At 58.5% G+C, this 15,606-nt stretch overlaps 1 protein-coding gene across 12 annotated transcripts in view; it reads left to right on the top strand.

The window, feature by feature from the left end:
- Nucleotides 1-15,525, top strand: part of SARDH (sarcosine dehydrogenase) — an 80,538-nt gene extending 65,013 nt beyond the window's left edge. For 5 of the 12 annotated variants that reach the window (NM_007101.4, XM_047422895.1, NM_001134707.2 and 2 more), the window contains 4 exons: nt 3,246-3,408; nt 4,191-4,359; nt 8,073-8,208; nt 10,929-11,383. In NM_007101.4, the coding sequence (NP_009032.2) occupies nt 3,246-3,408; nt 4,191-4,359; nt 8,073-8,208; nt 10,929-11,054 (594 nt within the window). In that variant the 3' untranslated portion in view covers nt 11,055-11,383. Of the gene's footprint in view, nt 1-3,245; nt 3,409-4,190; nt 4,360-8,072; nt 8,209-10,928; nt 11,384-11,417 lie in introns of those variants that run through there. The other 7 variants (XM_017014367.2, XM_047422896.1, XM_047422897.1 and 4 more) reach the window with 5 other exon arrangements.

Raw genomic sequence — 15,606 nt, 5'->3', positions numbered from 1 at the left:
CCGTGGGTTGCCTTTTCACTCTTTGTTAGCGTCCTTCGATGCACAAATGTGCTTGTGATCAATGTCCTTCCATCTGACTTTTGCTTTTGTGACCTGTGCTTTTGGTGTCCTCTCCAGGAAACCCTTGCCATTTCCAACTCCCCATGCCTTCTTCCAGAGGTTGTACAGCTACAGATCTTACCCTTGTGTCTTTGTTCCATGTCTAGTTAATTTTTGGACAAGATGTAAGGTACGCGACCAGCTTCTCGCTTCTGCATGTGGCTATCGGATCCTCCCAGCACCACTTGTTGGAGACTCTTTCCCCATGAGTGGCCTCAGCGCCCTTGTAGAGATCATGTGAACACATACGTGACGGTTCATTTGACTTCACTTTCTCCAACTTTGCTGATTTCGTTTAATAGTTTCAGCAGGCTTTTTTGGCATGGAATTTTCAGGATGTGGAAAGGGTTTAAACAAAACCTGACATAAGACCCTTCCTGCTGATCTTCCATAATTCTGTGACTCCATCCACGGCCAGGAGTTCCATCTTGCAATTTGGGGCTTTCAGAGCCCACCTGAGTCAGAGTGGCCAAGGACGACGTGCCGGGACCATGTGCTTGGTGCACACGCACCCAACCCTGGCCGATGGGTCAGAGCAGGGCACTGAGGCCAAGTGGGCCGACCCCCATGGGCGCTGGGAGACGCTGTTCCCACCCAAGCCCGGCTGACTGGGAGCCCGTGTTTGTTCTGGATGTCCTCGCTTGGCCTGTCCCTTTCCTTGTGGGTCCCCACTTGGAAGAACTGGGGACTGATCCCACTCCACTGCTTTGGTGGAGAAAAATGTAAGACGCCTCAACAACTAGTGATTCCGTGAACTTAGAGAGGCCCCTGGATTTCCCCAGCCTCCCTCTCTTTGGCAGGAAGCAGGTGTGGCCCCCGTTTTGCTCCTTCGTTCAGGGACTGTTTCTTGGGCCAGGCTGTGCACGGCGTACAATGGAGACCCAGACCCAGCTGACCCCATCCTCGCTGAGCTGCTGGAGCCAGGAAGGATGGGACTGCTCCCTCCCTTCCACCCGTGAACTCCAACCCTCTCCCTGAGCTGGGTGACGGGTCTTTGTCTGAACAGGGATCCGCAATTGGAGGGCCGTGCATAGGTGCACTTTAAAAATTATTTTTCCTGTTTCAAAATGAGATTGGTTTTGAGCCCCGAGCTCCTCCATAGGCTATCTAAAATTAGAACCCCGTTGACAAGGCAATCTTTGTCAGGGGCCTACGGCTTGCACCAGGGAAGCAGGGAAATGTCAACAGTATATTTTCTGTGTCAATTTTGAGTTTTTTAGGAGGCCTGGGCAAATGGCAACTTAGAGCAAATTTGCGCTATTTCCAAAGCTTTTAGAATCCAGCCCCTCGGCGGCCATGTGATTAAAGTGTCAGGTTTATAAGGAGCTGCCCCTGTGGTTGGGAGAGCGGCCTCTGCCCTCCTTCCCACAGGCGTATCCCAGCGGGAGCTGTACAGGGAGGGCCTTTCCACTCAGAGCAGTGGTGGAATCAGCTCCTCCGCTGTCTGGGATCCTGCAGTCAGCCTAGCTCTCCCCATTCCTTTTGTGAGCTCTCTGGTCCCAGGGCTGAGCACTCAGGCCTTCCCATGGGAGTCAGTGGGTTCAACGGTTTGCCTGAAGGTGAGGACGCAGACTCCAGTTACTGGGTGTGGACGTGCCACGCACCTGAACCAAGTGTGTGAGGAAAATCACGCCTCCTGTGCAAGAAGCCCCCCATGCTGTCTGTGGCCTCCACGCAGCCGAGTGCTAGCCTGTTGTGCAGGCGTGCGGGACACACCCTCCCAAAGACACCAGCTGTCCTCAGCGGAGCAGGGTGTGCCTAGGCCCTGCTCAGTGCCTCTGGGAGCCTCTGTGTCCGCCTCAGCCCACAGACATTACTGACCGTGTTCCCACCGTTGCAAGGGCCGTGGAGGGACGAGATGAAGCTTAGCCCAGAGCACCCGATAATCGGCACTGTCACTTCTGCAGGGCTTGAGCCATCGTGTCTTTCACAGTCAGGTATCCACAGCCCCACAGGCCTTTCTCTCCTGCCTCCCACCATGTCCGCTGCCCAACGCTGGGCCTTTGCACCTCACCTGGAAGGCCCGTCTGCGACGGCAATCTCCTGGTCTGCCTGCTAGCCTGGTCTGGCGTCCCAGGCAGGGGTCTTGCTTTCCGGCCCCTTCCTCACCCAGAACATGGTTGTGCTCACGGCCGAGCTGAGTCCTGAAGGGCAGAGGCTATGGCTGTCTTCAGAGCCCGGTGCTGGGCCGGGGCTGACCAGAATTGGTGGGTGACGGGCTCCTCGGACAACGGGCTTGGCACCTGGCTGTCCCCTTCCCTGATGCCTCTATCCCCACCTGGTGCAGCCAGGGTGGTGTCCCCTGAGCTGGGCTGCTGCCTTCCCCCTGCTCCTCGCAGACGTGTCTCAGAGCTTCTGAAACAGATAAAGCTGGGCTCCCAACCCCATCTTACAGACAAGGAAGGGTGAGAAGCTTGCCCCAGGTCACTGCTGTGGACTGAATGGTGACCCCCAAAACATATATCTACATCCTAACTCGTCAGAACCTGTGAATGGGGCCTTGTTTGGAAATAGGATCTTTGCAGGTGTAATTAAGGTCAGGATCTCCAGATGATATTATCTAGGGCTAGGGAAGGTCCTAAGTCCAGTGACAAGTGTCCTTAGAAGACAGAGACACAAAGGGGAGGCTGTGAGGGCTGAGGCAGAAATCGCAGTGGTGCAGCCACAAGCCAAGGGGTGCCGGGAGGTGCTCGGGAGGTGCTCGGGAGGAGGCTCCCTCGAGAGTGGAAGGGTCGTCTCCGGAGCCTGCAGAGGAAGCGTGGCTTGCCCACATGGTGATTTTGGATTTTGAGCCTGCAGAACCGAGAGAGAGTTTACTGTTATTGTTTTAAGCCACCAGTTGTGGTCGTTTGTTATGACAGGTAGGAAACTAACCCAGTCCTGGAGAAGACCTGAGGTCTGCAGATAGCAAACCTGCCATCTCCCCTTCCCAAAGGTGACCCCCTACTTCTCCTCAAAGATTTCCAGAGCAGCTGGAGGGAGCAGCTCTCCTTGGAAGACCCCATTTCTTGATGGCAATCTGGCTGGGACCCAGGGCCAGCTGATAATCCTGGTGACAGTAGGAGCTGCCACCAGGAAGTGGTGGCCTGGGCCTGGACCTCAGCCATCTTACATGGCCACATCTAAGCCATGACCTTGTCCCCCAGGTCCGAGCCATGCGGCTGTCCTTTGTGGGGGAGCTGGGCTGGGAGCTGCACATTCCAAAGGCGTCCTGCGTGCCTGTGTACCGGGCTGTGATGGCCGCGGGTGCCAAGCACGGCCTCATCAACGCAGGGTACCGCGCCATCGACTCCCTGAGCATTGAGAAAGGTGAGTGCAGGGTCTGGACAGCACGGGGCGGGGGCGGGCGCAGTGGGGGGCAGTGACGCTCGAGACACCTGGAGGCCGAGAAGCTGTTTACCTTCCCTGTGTTGTCACCCGGCTTCCTTCTTTCCACACCATGATTTCCTCCCCTACACCCCAGCGCCTGACATCCTCCATTTCCCCAAAACCTCTTGCTGCCCAGGGTCTTCGTGCAGGGCCCCAGGGACAGTGTTGGGATCTGCGACACCTACACACACCTGAACTCAGAGAGCTGAGGTGCTGCCTGACACCTGGGGGTCAGGCCCAGGCTGGGTTGGAATTGAGGGCCTTGGTTTCTCTGAGAGCTGTGAAGAATGGAGCCAGGGAGCAGGTGCTGTGGCCTCTGGAAGAAGCCCAGACCCTGTCCAGAGCAAGGATGAAGGCTCAGAGCGGGCTTTGGGCGGTTCCCCAGCGTGTTGGGCACCCAGCTTGGGCGTCAGGCAGCTCCCCTGGGTGTTGGGCACCCAGCTTGGGCATTGGGAAGCTCCCCCTTCACAAGCCCCTCCCTGACGCCCCCACCTGAGGGTGCAGAGGGCTGCAGTGCTGATGGGCAGTCTGCTCGGGGGAGCGGTCGCCCCAGGGAACCTTCTGGAGTTGGGGATGCCCCTGCCTCCTGCCCAGGTGACTAAGCAGCTCTGAGAGTGTGGCTAGGGGCTGGAGGGGGTGGGTTTAGGCAGCATCCTCATGCATCTCCTGAAGGGCTTATCCCCCTCAGGGTGGCACCGACCCCATGGATTCCCTTCCCACAGGCTACCGGCACTGGCACGCGGACCTGCGGCCAGACGACAGCCCCCTGGAGGCAGGCCTGGCCTTCACCTGCAAGCTCAAGTCGCCGGTGCCCTTCCTGGGGAGGGAGGCCCTGGAGCAGCAGCGGGCCGCAGGCCTCCGCCGGCGCCTGGTGTGCTTCACCATGGAGGAGTGAGTATCCCGCTGTTCCACGCCCACCCGGAAGCAACTGCCTACAGCCAGGGCAGGCAGGCGCTTCTTGGTCCCCCACTCAAAGCCCCTGGTACCAACACTTCCCATGTGCCAGCCATGCTCTTCCAGAACGCACCCAACAGCCCACTGCAGATAAGGAAATCGAGGCCAAAGAGAGAGGCCATCTGGCCAGGTCACATGTTGTTAAAGGCAGAAAGGCAGAGAGAGTTTGCTCTTTTTTTTTTTTTTTTTTTTGAGACGGAGTCTCACTCTATTGCCCAGGCCGGAGTGCAGTGGCGCAATCTCGGCTCACTGCAACCTCCGCCTCCCAGGTTCAAGTGATTCTCCTGCCTCAGCCTCCCAAGTAGCTGGGATTACAGGCGTGCACTACCACACCCAGCTAATTTTTGTACTTTTAGTAGAGATGGGGTTTCACCATGTTGGCCAGGCTGGTCTTGAACTCTCCTGACCTCGTGATCTGCCTGCCTCGGCCTCCCAAAGTGCTGGGATTACAAGCGTGAGGATCCCAACATGCTGGGATTCAAACCAGGCCAGTGTAAGGTTGCGCACCTGGGGCCCCTCCCAGGCCAGCAGGGCCCGTGGGGAGGTAGAGAAGGCTCCACACTCTTCCCATGCAGGTCTCAAAAGAGAAAGGTGCAGCCAAGCCCAGGCCACCCCTCTGTGGCAGGTCTAGGCCGAGGGCCTTGGGAGGGTGAACCCAGGGAGCCTGACCTCCCAGTCACTGCAACACGACCTCCCATCCCGTTCTGGTTCAGTCTCCCCACAGCCCTGTGATAGGGGGAGAGGGGCTCGGCTGGGGCCGTCATCCCCACTCACGAATGGAGACCACATGGTGCCAAGGAGCAGGGGACTCACGCCCAGTCACACGGCAGAGGTGGAAGGAGAGACTCTGCCTGGGGGCGACCTGACCTCCTGCTCTCCCCACTGAGAGTGGCTTTGAGCATGCTGCTGGAGCCCGGCGCACGTGATCCCTGGGCTACTGGGAGAGTTTGGATTCCAGGAACCCGAGTCCCACTTGGGTTGCAGGGCAGTCTGAGAAGATCAGGCCCTGATCAGAGGCCCTCCCGTGGTGCCCACGGGGGTCTGAAGCACAGGTATCCGGGGAAGTGGGCGGCTTTGGGCTCTGTGGACATGGAGCTGACAGCCAGCTGCAAACACTGCCACTTCTCCCAGATTTCTGGAGCCTTCAAAAGGAGTGTCAGAGTGACGAGGGGAGGGAGAGGGAGGACGAGGGAGAGGGAGGGTGAGGGAGGATGAGGGGAGAGGGAGGGTGAGGGAGAGGGAGGGTGAGGGGAGAGGGAGGGTGAGGGGAGAGGGAGGGTGAGGGAGAGGGAGGGTAAGGGAGAGGGAGGGTGAGGGAGATGGAGGGTGAGGGAGAGGGAAGGTGAGGGAGAGGGAAGGTGAGGGAGAGGGAGGGTAAGGGAGAGGGAAGGAGAGAGAGAGGGAGGGTGAGGGAGAGGGAGGGTGAGGGAGAGGGAGGGTGAGGGGAGATGGAGGGTGAGGGAGAGGGAGGGTAAGGGAGAGGGAAGGTGAGGGAGAGGGAGGGTAAGGGGAGAGGGAGGGTGAGGGAGATGGAGGGTGAGGGAGAGGGAAGGTGAGGGAGAGGGAAGGTGAGGGAGAGGGAGGGTAAGGGAGAGGGAAGGAGAGAGAGAGGGAGGGTGAGGGAGAGGGAGGGTGAGGGAGAGGGAGGGTGAGGGGAGATGGAGGGTGAGGGAGAGGGAGGGTGAGGGGAGAGGGAGGGTGAGGGGAGATGGAGGGTGAGGGAGAGGGAGGGTGAGGGAGAGGGAGGGTAGGGGAGAGGGAAGGTGAGGGAGAGGGAGGGGGAGGGTAAGGGGAGAGGGAGGGTGAGGGAGAGGGAGGGTGAGGGAGAGGGAGGGTGAGGGGAGAGGGAGGGTGAGGGAGAGGGAGGGTAGGGGAGAGGGAAGGTGAGGGAGAGGGAGGGGGAGGGTAAGGGGAGAGGGAGGGTGAGGGAGAGGGAGGGTGAGGGAGAGGGAGGGTGAGGGGAGAGGGAGGGTGAGGGAGAGGGAGGGTGAGGGAGAGGGAGGGTGAGGGAGAGGGAGGGTGAGGGTGAGGGGAGAGGGAGGGCGAGGGGAGAGGGAGGGCGAGGGAGAGGGAGGGTAAGGGAGAGGGAGGGTGAAGGGAGAGGGAGAGGGAGGGTGAAGGGAGAGGGAGAGGGAGGCTGAGGGAGAATGAGGGTGAGGGAGAGGGAGGGTGAGGGAGAATGAGGGAGAGGGAGAGGGAGGGTGGGGGAGAGGGAGGGAGAGGGAGGGAGAGGGAGGGAGAGGGACGGTGAGTGGAGCCGTGTCGTCGTCATCCTGTGGCTTCTCCCTGGGTGCCTGTCAGGCTCTGTCTCTTGTGTGACAGCCTGTCCAGCTCCCTGAATCAGCTCAGCTCCTGGAGAGGGGGCCCCTTGCAGACAGGTCAGCATCCATGGGTCCTTTCTGCTTGCCTGACCCCGACCTTCTGGCCCTCCATGAAGTACCTGCAGCCTGATGTCTGGGTTTAGGAGGGCCTCGGACGGCCCCTGTGACCCAGTGCGCTCTGCTCAGGGGTTTCCTGTCAGGCTGCATAATAGCTGCCCTGCGCCGCGGCTCTGGACTGTTGCAGTTCCAGGACAGGCGCAGAGAAGATGCTGGCAGTGGAGTCACAGAGAACAGCCCTGCCACACTGCTCTGGGACTCCGGGCAGTTGGGGCCTCAGCGTCCTCACGTGGAGAACAGAAACTAGGGTGACACCAAAGATGTTTACGAAACCTCCTTCCAGCCTCGTCCTAATCTGATGGACAGGTGGGACCCAAACAGTGACTCCAGGCTGAGGATGCAGGAGGTGCCCTCAACATCACCCCAGCCCTTCCATTCAGGGACCCCTTTGCATAGCTGCCGCCGTGATAACCCATTGCACAGGGAGAAGTCTGCAGACTGGCAACAAAATGTTACCAGTTAGCCCTGGGTGCTGGCCTTTCTTTGATTTTAGCTTACTTTTTTTTTTTTGTCTTCCTGCTTTTAATCTTTAAAACTTTTACAGTGAGCATTCATGTATTACATGTAGTAAAGTCCTTTGAATAAAGTATGTATTGTACTATAAAAAAAATGAACCTGGCCGGGCGCAGTGGCTCAAGTCTGTAATCCCAGCACTTTGGGAGGCTGAGGTGGGCAGATCACTTGAGGTCAGGAGTTCGAGACCAGCCTGGCCAACATGATGAAACCCCATCTCTATTAAAAATACAAAATTAGCCGGGCATGGTGGTGGGTGCCTGTAATCCCAGCTACTCCGGAGGCTGAGGCAGGAGAATCGTTTGAACCTGGGAGGCGGAGGTTGTAGTGAGTCTAGATTGTGCCACTGCACCAAAAAAAAAAAAAAAAAAAAAACCAGAGTTGAACAACAATGGAAGGAAATCGGAAGCAGGGGCCCTCCCAAATATACGGGGCTCGCTTCTGGAAACAGCAAAGTCCACTCCTGGTTTTGATGTTTTCTATTCATCCCTTTTACTCACTCGAAGCCCGAGCCCTGCTGTCCAGGCCAGGTGCTGGGCTGGCTCTGGGGACCAGCGTAGTCCTAGTAGGCCAGCCCTATCTGCCTGGAGCCACGGTTGGGTGTGCATCATGCAGCCCCCCATTCTCCTCCAGGCCGCTGTGGACGCGTCCCCACCCTGCGGTTTCTGGGGCCCCAGCTTTCTCTACTGCTTCTTCCAGCAAAGTACCCATGTTTGGCCTGGAGGCCATCTGGAGGAACGGCCAAGTGGTGGGCCATGTCCGGAGGGCTGACTTTGGGTTCGCCATCGACAAGACCATCGCCTACGGTTACATCCATGACCCCAGCGGTGGGCCGGTGAGTCCCCTTCTCTGGCCCTGCTAAGGCAGATGCCGATCCCTCACCAGCTCCAAACCAGCTCCCTGCACTGCACCCTGAGTGTGCCGGGCATAGGGAGGAGGCACGGGTGTGGTCCAGAAGAGGAGGAGGGAAGAGAAAGGAGGGAGGAGGGAAGAGGGGGAGGAAGGAAGGAGGAGAAGGAGGGGGAAGGAAAAAGGGGAGAGAGGAAGGAGGAGGAGGAGGGAGAGGGAGGAGGGAGGGAGAAGGAGAAGGGGGAGGAAGAGGCCTCAGCAGGTGGAGGACTCCCCAGCTGTGCCTGGGCAGAGCCAAAGCTGCTCTCTGTTTTCTTTCTGGAAGAATCCGACTTTGGTGATTCCAGGCTTTTTTTGGTTAGAAGGAGGTGCCAGCCAGCCAGGCTGATACCTTCCAGCTCCTCACACCAGAGACCCAAACCTCAGGCCACCCACAGCCCACCCTTTGCCTGGGGTGCAGGGGTGGCCCCCAGGGTGACCGACTAGAGACTCAGAGACCCATGTTCCTATCCTCTCTTTCCTCACCCCCGACACCCCTGACCCCAGGCAACCCCACCCCCTCCAGGTGACCCTGACCCCTGGCTGCAGGAGGCAGGAACAGGCTGGAAAGAGCAGGCACTGCCCCCAGGAGCAAGTCCCAGGACAGCTCTGGGTGGCCAGGGGTGGTGGGGCAGGGGGTGGGCAGCCTCCCCAGAAGGGGAAGGGGTGGTCTCTACCTCCACCTCCTTTTCCCATCTTTCTGGCACTGCAAGTAGAGGTGCCGGTGAGGAGGGTCGTGTCTCTCCATGGGAGCCGATCTGACGTTTGGCCTAAGCCCTAAGTGAGGCCGGGAGGTGCTGGCCTGGCTCCAGAGCCTTCCAGCCTGAGCCCCTGATGGACACGTAGAGGGAATTGGGGAGGGAGCGAGCACTTGGGAGAAGCCATGAGGAGGGGTAGGCTGGAGACGGAGCAGCCTTAGCAAGAGCTGCAGAACATGCGCAGGCCCAGCTCGCAGGCCCAATGGGGAGGGGACACCGCCAGGCCTCGGGCAAGACCATGGTCCTGTGGAGCTGTGGGGAAGTGGCAGCCCATGGGGCTGAGTCCGGCGGTGGAGCTGGGAGGCTGGGGACACACTTGATGCCACTAGCCTTTGGATCTGCCTTTTACTTGCTTTGTGACCTTGGATAAGGATCCTCTCTTGGAGCCTCAGTTTCCTCATTTATAAAATGTGGACACTCACCTACCATGCAGGGCTGTCATACAGGCCACTGCACAGAGTGAGTCTTAATATGTGGGGATTGTGATGGCATGGCTCCCACGGTGGGCAGGGCCTCCTGACACAGCCCTGGGGCCATGGTCCTGGGGGCCACAGCCCTGGGGCCCAGCCAAACCGGAGTTTATGGGCTCCATGCCAGGGTGGGCTGGGGAGTGGAGGCTCCTTTGCCATTTCTTCAAAGAACAGTAATGCTCGCCTTTCTCCGGAGTCAGGGATGGGTCCATAACCAACGTGACCAGGGAAGCCGAGGTTCCGAGGTTAAACGGCATCCAGACAGGCAGCCGGGGAACCAGTCGATGCACCCAGAGCGGCCGGTGCACGTCTCCTGCCCCCTCCATCAGGGCTGTCCAGAGCATTTGCACCATGGAAATGGGCAAATGCTACAGTCACACCCACCTCACCCCAGAGCTGGTTGTTAAACATTTTCTAGCACCCAAGTGGGGTAACGGAGGTTTCTGCCTAAGATAGGGAAACCTGCTCATTGATGGGAAAGGCTCCGAGATGGGGAAGGCGTTTCTGCCTCGTAGGTATCTGTTAGCAAGGCCAGATGCCCGCTTTGAGTTGTGCATGCCCGTGGACATCTGAAGGCCACCAGCTCTCCATGCTGCCTGCCTGCGGGGGGCAGCTCAGAGCTCTCAGCCCTGCAGGTGCACACATGGCTCAGAAGCACCACTCCTAAAGCTCCTGTCGCAGAAAAAGCTTGGTTTGTTTTTTATTTTTTTCATCCAGTCCTGAGCTGCTAGGAACAAGAAGGAGCCCTCTGACTCCCAGAGCGGAGCCCGAGACTCCCTCCTGTGGCCCTGACCTTGGGTTTAATTGCTGTAAAGGAAGAACAGCTTCCCTGAGTGGCCTAGCCTGCCCTCCTCATAGCAGCTGCAGCAAAAGTGCCAGGCGTCACCAGCTGTGCCAGGCTGGAGGTGACACCCTCCTCCTGCCTAAGAGCACCTGCACCTGGGGCTGACTGGCTCCCGAGCGCTTGCTGGGGAGCCCGAGCCAGGGTGTGGGATGGGGAGCATGCAGAGGCCAAGCTGTCTAGAAGGCTGTTCCAGCCGCCCCTGCCCCGAGGGATTCGAGCCGGATTGGCCCCCAGCCTCGGCGCTGCTCTGGCCGCTGTGCTTGCCCGGGTCCGGGGAAGCCACCGTGTTGCTGCTGTTTCCCAGGCATCTGGAATTGCTGGGGTGGGAGGTGTGTTGTCCGGTGGAAGTCATATTGGCTGCCAGACCTTGGCTTTGCCGGACCCCAGATGCCCATGTCCAACTCAAGATCACATGGACACGAACTGCACCTGCTCTGGGGCAATGCCTGGGTTCAGAAAGGAGTCCCTGGCACAGGGATGAGTTTGCCCACAGGGCAGGTAGCAAGACCAAGACCCCCTCCTCCAGAGAAGCAGGCAGACGTGAGCCCTGTACCTACCAACAGAGAGTGATCCTCATCCCCACCTCTGCTCCTAGGTCTCGCTGGACTTTGTGAAGAGCGGGGACTATGCCCTGGAGAGAATGGGGGTGACCTATGGTGCCCAGGCTCACCTGAAGTCGCCCTTCGACCCCAACAACAAGAGGGTGAAGGGAATCTACTGAGGGCTCAGACCACATGCCCCATCCCATGCTGTCCATCCATTCTCACAGGTCCCAAATGGCCCTGGGTCCCAGGACCCTGGACCCAGCCAGAACTTGTGCCCTCCCTGTCCTTAGCCTAGGCCTAGTCCTGCGAAAACCCCCAAACCAGATACGGACAGAGACCAAGATGGCCCATCCTGTGGTCACTGACTGGAAGGCAGTCTCTAATCCACCCCAATCCTCCCAGAAAGCAAACCTGTAAGTGTCTTGGGCTCAGGGACCATGGCTTGTAGCCCTTTCCAAGCTTCTAGAAGGTGCTTAGTAAATACTTGATAAGCCCCACGTGAAAACAGCGAAGCAAATAGGCTTCATCTTTTACTCCAGGCTTGACTGATCGGTGGCGGGCTTCCCTGGGGCACTTGGCTGAAGAGCATGAGGCTGTGTCTGGGTCAGGAAAGAGAGGTGATCGACTGGCATTGTCTGCCACAGCGCACATGGAGGCCTGGGACCAAGGCCATTCTTCAGGATGGTGCCTCTCGGCTCTCAGGTCGGAACAGGAGCTGGAAAGCTCTTCTTACCTTGCTCGACCTCCCTGTTCTTCAGGTGGCAAAGCCTCCTGAGAGTCGGCAGCCCGGGAACACAGAGGAGCCGAAGCAGGGAGCGGGCGGGGCCTCAGATTGGTGCCCTCCTCACCCACACAGAAGTGCCAGCTCCTGCCTCAGTTTCCCCTTGAGCCCCTCGCTCACCAGGCCCAGGCAGGAGGGACGTGCTGCTGGGTAAGAGTCTGGTGGAGTCCCCCTTTCTAGGTGACCTTTGTCTTTGCTGTTGATTTGGACGCGGTTCCTGCCCATGCCCTCCTCCTTGTCTGGCCCTTGCAGGAGGACCCTCTCTTAGGCTCTGCCCTGCACGCTGCCTTGAGATGGGGTGGCTCCTCTGCCCACCTTCTCTTCCCCCTGATAACTGCCTGTGTGTCAGAAGCAGCTCTGCCTCTCCTGCCTGGGAGGGGTGTGCATCTCTGTCCATCCCACGTGCTCAGTCCCCTCCCTTGTCCCCCCGAGCCCAGGTTCAGATCAGGCCCGTCAGAGCGGCACTGCGCAGTCTTGCCAGGCATGCCCTGCAATCTGGGAAGAGCGGGAGGCAGATGCTTGAGGGTATCGTGGAGCCGGGGCCCCACAGAGCCACACACACAGCAAACAGCGATCTGGGGGCAGCAGTCCTGGCAGGCCCCAGCTGCCACTGGACGCTCCCAGGCCACGCGGCCCACTGTGGACTGAGCTCGAACAAAGCTGTGGGCAGACGTTTGGGTTACAGATGGCTGTGAAAAGTGGGTTTGGCCCCCTGAGTCTGGGGAGGGGGCTGCGGCTGGAGACCAGGGTGGGGGCTGTTGGCTTTCACACGCTTCAGGCTGAAGGAACACCTGCAGCCTCCCCTTGCTCACAGGCGGGCCTGGCTTCTGGATGAGACAGCTTTGTGGGAGCCAGGGGAGGAGAGGAGGGGAGCCGGCTCCCCAGATGGCCTGGCCTGCTTCCTCCGGGTCTGCGGTTTGGCCATAGACCCCTGGATTGGGCCGGTGACCACATTCATCTCACGGCCCATCCCTGGGGGAAGGCTGAGGATGAGGGGAGGTCAGAGCCCGGGTTCCGCTCCAAATTGTTTCTCGTGGCTGCAGCTGGGGAATGCACGCAACGGCACCACCCTGTCCCGAGGAGAGAGAACCTGGCTGCGCTCCCTGTCCCGAGGAGAGAGAACCCAGCACCCCTCCCTGTCCCCTGTGTGCTTCCCCCGCCCCTGTGGAGAGAGAACCTGGCCCCTCGGGGAGGGCACTGGGCATTGATGTGAGCGCAGCCTCCACAACTCACCTCCCAAGCTCATCACCTGCGGGCTCCATCCCTGCGCTGCCAGAGGTCCTGGCCCCGCCATGGCTCCCAAGTGCACCGCCCGGGGACCACATCACAAAAGACCCACCTTCCCAGACCCCGAGCCAGGTCTTCCAGACCTCAACTTTAAAAACACCGTTTCGTAGCTATTTTTAAATTTTTTTTCTGGAAATATTGATACCATGACGCTCACTGTGGCTGAGTACTGCCTCTCAGGAATTCTGAGCAAACTGTTTTGAAAGTGCCTACACTGGCCGGGCGCAGTGACTGACGCCTGTAATCCCAGCACTTTGGGAGGCCGAGGGGGGCGGATCACCTGAGGTTGGGAGTTTGAGACCAGCCTGACCAATATGGTGAAGTCTCATCTCTACTAAAAACACAAAATTAGCTGGGCGTGGTGGCACACGCCTGTAATCCCAGATACTTGGGAGGCTGAGGTGGGAGAATTGCTTGAACCCAGGAAGCGGAGGTTGTGGTGAGCCGAGATTATGCCATTGCACTCCAGCCTGGGCAACAAGAGGGAAACTCTGTCTCAAAAACAACAAAAAAAAGAAAGTGCCTACATCGTCACCGGCAGAGCGCTATACCACAGTGTGCAGTGAGACAGCCTTGGGCCATGTGAAAAGTTGGGGGTATGAATGGGACGCAGAAAGGTTCCATTTTGTTTTTTTTTGTTGTTGTTGTTTTTTTTTTGAGACAGGGTTTTACTCTGTTGCCCAAGCTGGAGTACAGTGGTGTGATCTCAGCTCACTACAACCTCCACCTCCCAGGTCAAGCAATTCTCCCACCTCAGCCTCCCAAATAGCTAGGATTACAAACGCGCACCACCACAGCCTGGCTAATTTTTGTATTTTTAGTAGAGACGGGGTTTCACCATATTGGCCAGGCTGGTCTCGAACTACCGACCTCAGGTGATCCGCCCGCCTCAGTCTCCCAAAATGCTGGGATTACAGGCGTGAGCCACCGCGCCCAGCCCTAATTATTGTATTTTTTGTAGAGACAGGATTTCACTATGTTGCCCAGGCTGGTCTTGAACTCCTGGGCTCAAGTGATCCTCGCATCTCAGCCTCCCAAAGTGCTGGGATTACAGGCATGAGCCACAGCACCCGACCTTGTATCATTTTAATTAATTTAAAATTAATCGTAAGTAGCCACATGAGGCTAGCAGCCACCAGAAAGCACAGCCCTGGTGTGCTCTGGGACCCAGTCGGGCAGGCACCCCTATGCTGGCTGGAGCCTGGGGTCGCCCCACTTCTCTCAACACTGATGGGCATGAGCATTCCTCACCCCAGGGCTCTGAGCACCTCACAGATGGGGGGTTGTGCCACCCTAGCAGTCCCTGCCCCCTGGGAGGCTGGGGAACCCTCTCCTCGGTGGGCAGATAGGGAGACCCAAGCCTAGGGAAGGAAAGTAACTAACTCAGGGTCACACAGCAGGGGCAGGAATAGCAACCTGGGCTGCTGGACTCACACCCCAATCATTCGGAAGGTGGGCGAGCCCAGAGTCCCTTTGGCTTGGGGCATGTAGGTCATTTTCAGGTAACAAAGCACTTCCCCTAAGCCTCTAAATAAGGAACTTATTTTAGATAAAATCCCCCACAAGGGTCCTGGGGAAATTCCTGTTTCCTAAGTAAGCAGAGGTTGAGCATTCAGACACTGGAGTCAGACCTGGGGACACTTCGAGCTCCCCGGCTTACTCTGGGTGACCTTGGCACCTAACTTTAGGTCTCTGAGCCTCAGTTTCCTCCTCCATCAATGGAAACAGAAACTACATGGCTTCACGAGATTGCCACGGCTGTGCATAGCCTCAGTGTGGGGCAAGTGGCAACTCTCAGCAACCACGGGGTTACGCTTATCTGGGTGTAGGAGGTGCGGGTACTGCTGGAGCGGGGTAGGGGGGACACGGCTGCTGTCTCTGCAAGAGGAAGAGGATAACCAGCCTGAGAGCAAGAGTGTGAGTGGGGGGTGAGGTGGGGGTGGGGTTGTCGCTGTGGCAGGTTCCAGAGCTGGCTAGGATTCCCAATCACTGCCGCTCTTGGGCCCCAGGTGAGGTACTTATCTGGGAGTCTCAGTTTCCCTGCCCGAGATCGGCAGGCTACAAGTGCCCCCCAGGTGTTTGGGCAGGACCCTGGGACCCTTCTCTGGGCTGGCAATTGGGTGTGATCGCGGGAAGAGGCTTCTTGGGCCTGCTCCGTGTCTACTGTCACCTAGGCTGTAAAGATGACAGAGGGCCGGAGTGGCTCTCCAGGCTGGGGCCTGGCATTTCACAGCGCTAGCGCCGTGACTTATGGACCACAAGAAGCTGTGATTTATACAACGTGAGGCAGAGCTCCTGGGCTCGTGACTTCCCTTCTGTGATGAAGTGAAGTGCCTTGCAGAAGCAGCAGCCGCTTAGCTGATGCGAGGGGACTCCGAGGCCCATCCATCTCCCTCTCTCCCCATGAGGCTGGGCAGCGTTTTGCTGAAGTGGCTGAACACAAGTGCATCTGTTACTGTCTCCAGAAACCATCAAAGAGCTGAACTTGTCCCTGAGAGGCAGCTCAGAGGGCAGGAAGGGGAGACCCACCCAGGCCAGCTGAGGCAGCTTCAGGACGCTCAGGGGGAAGCACTTGGTACCACGCCTGGCACAGGGAGGAGGCTCAGGAGCAAGCTTCTCTCTCCTGGAGCGACGGCCCGGAGTGCAAACATACCCACCTC

The sequence above is a fragment of the Homo sapiens genome, chromosome 9 (assembly GCF_000001405.40).
Source record: "Homo sapiens chromosome 9, GRCh38.p14 Primary Assembly".
Classification (NCBI taxonomy): domain Eukaryota; kingdom Metazoa; phylum Chordata; class Mammalia; order Primates; family Hominidae; genus Homo; species Homo sapiens.
The sequence above is the reverse complement of the archived record's forward strand: the minus strand, read 5'-3'. Positions and strand labels throughout refer to the sequence as shown.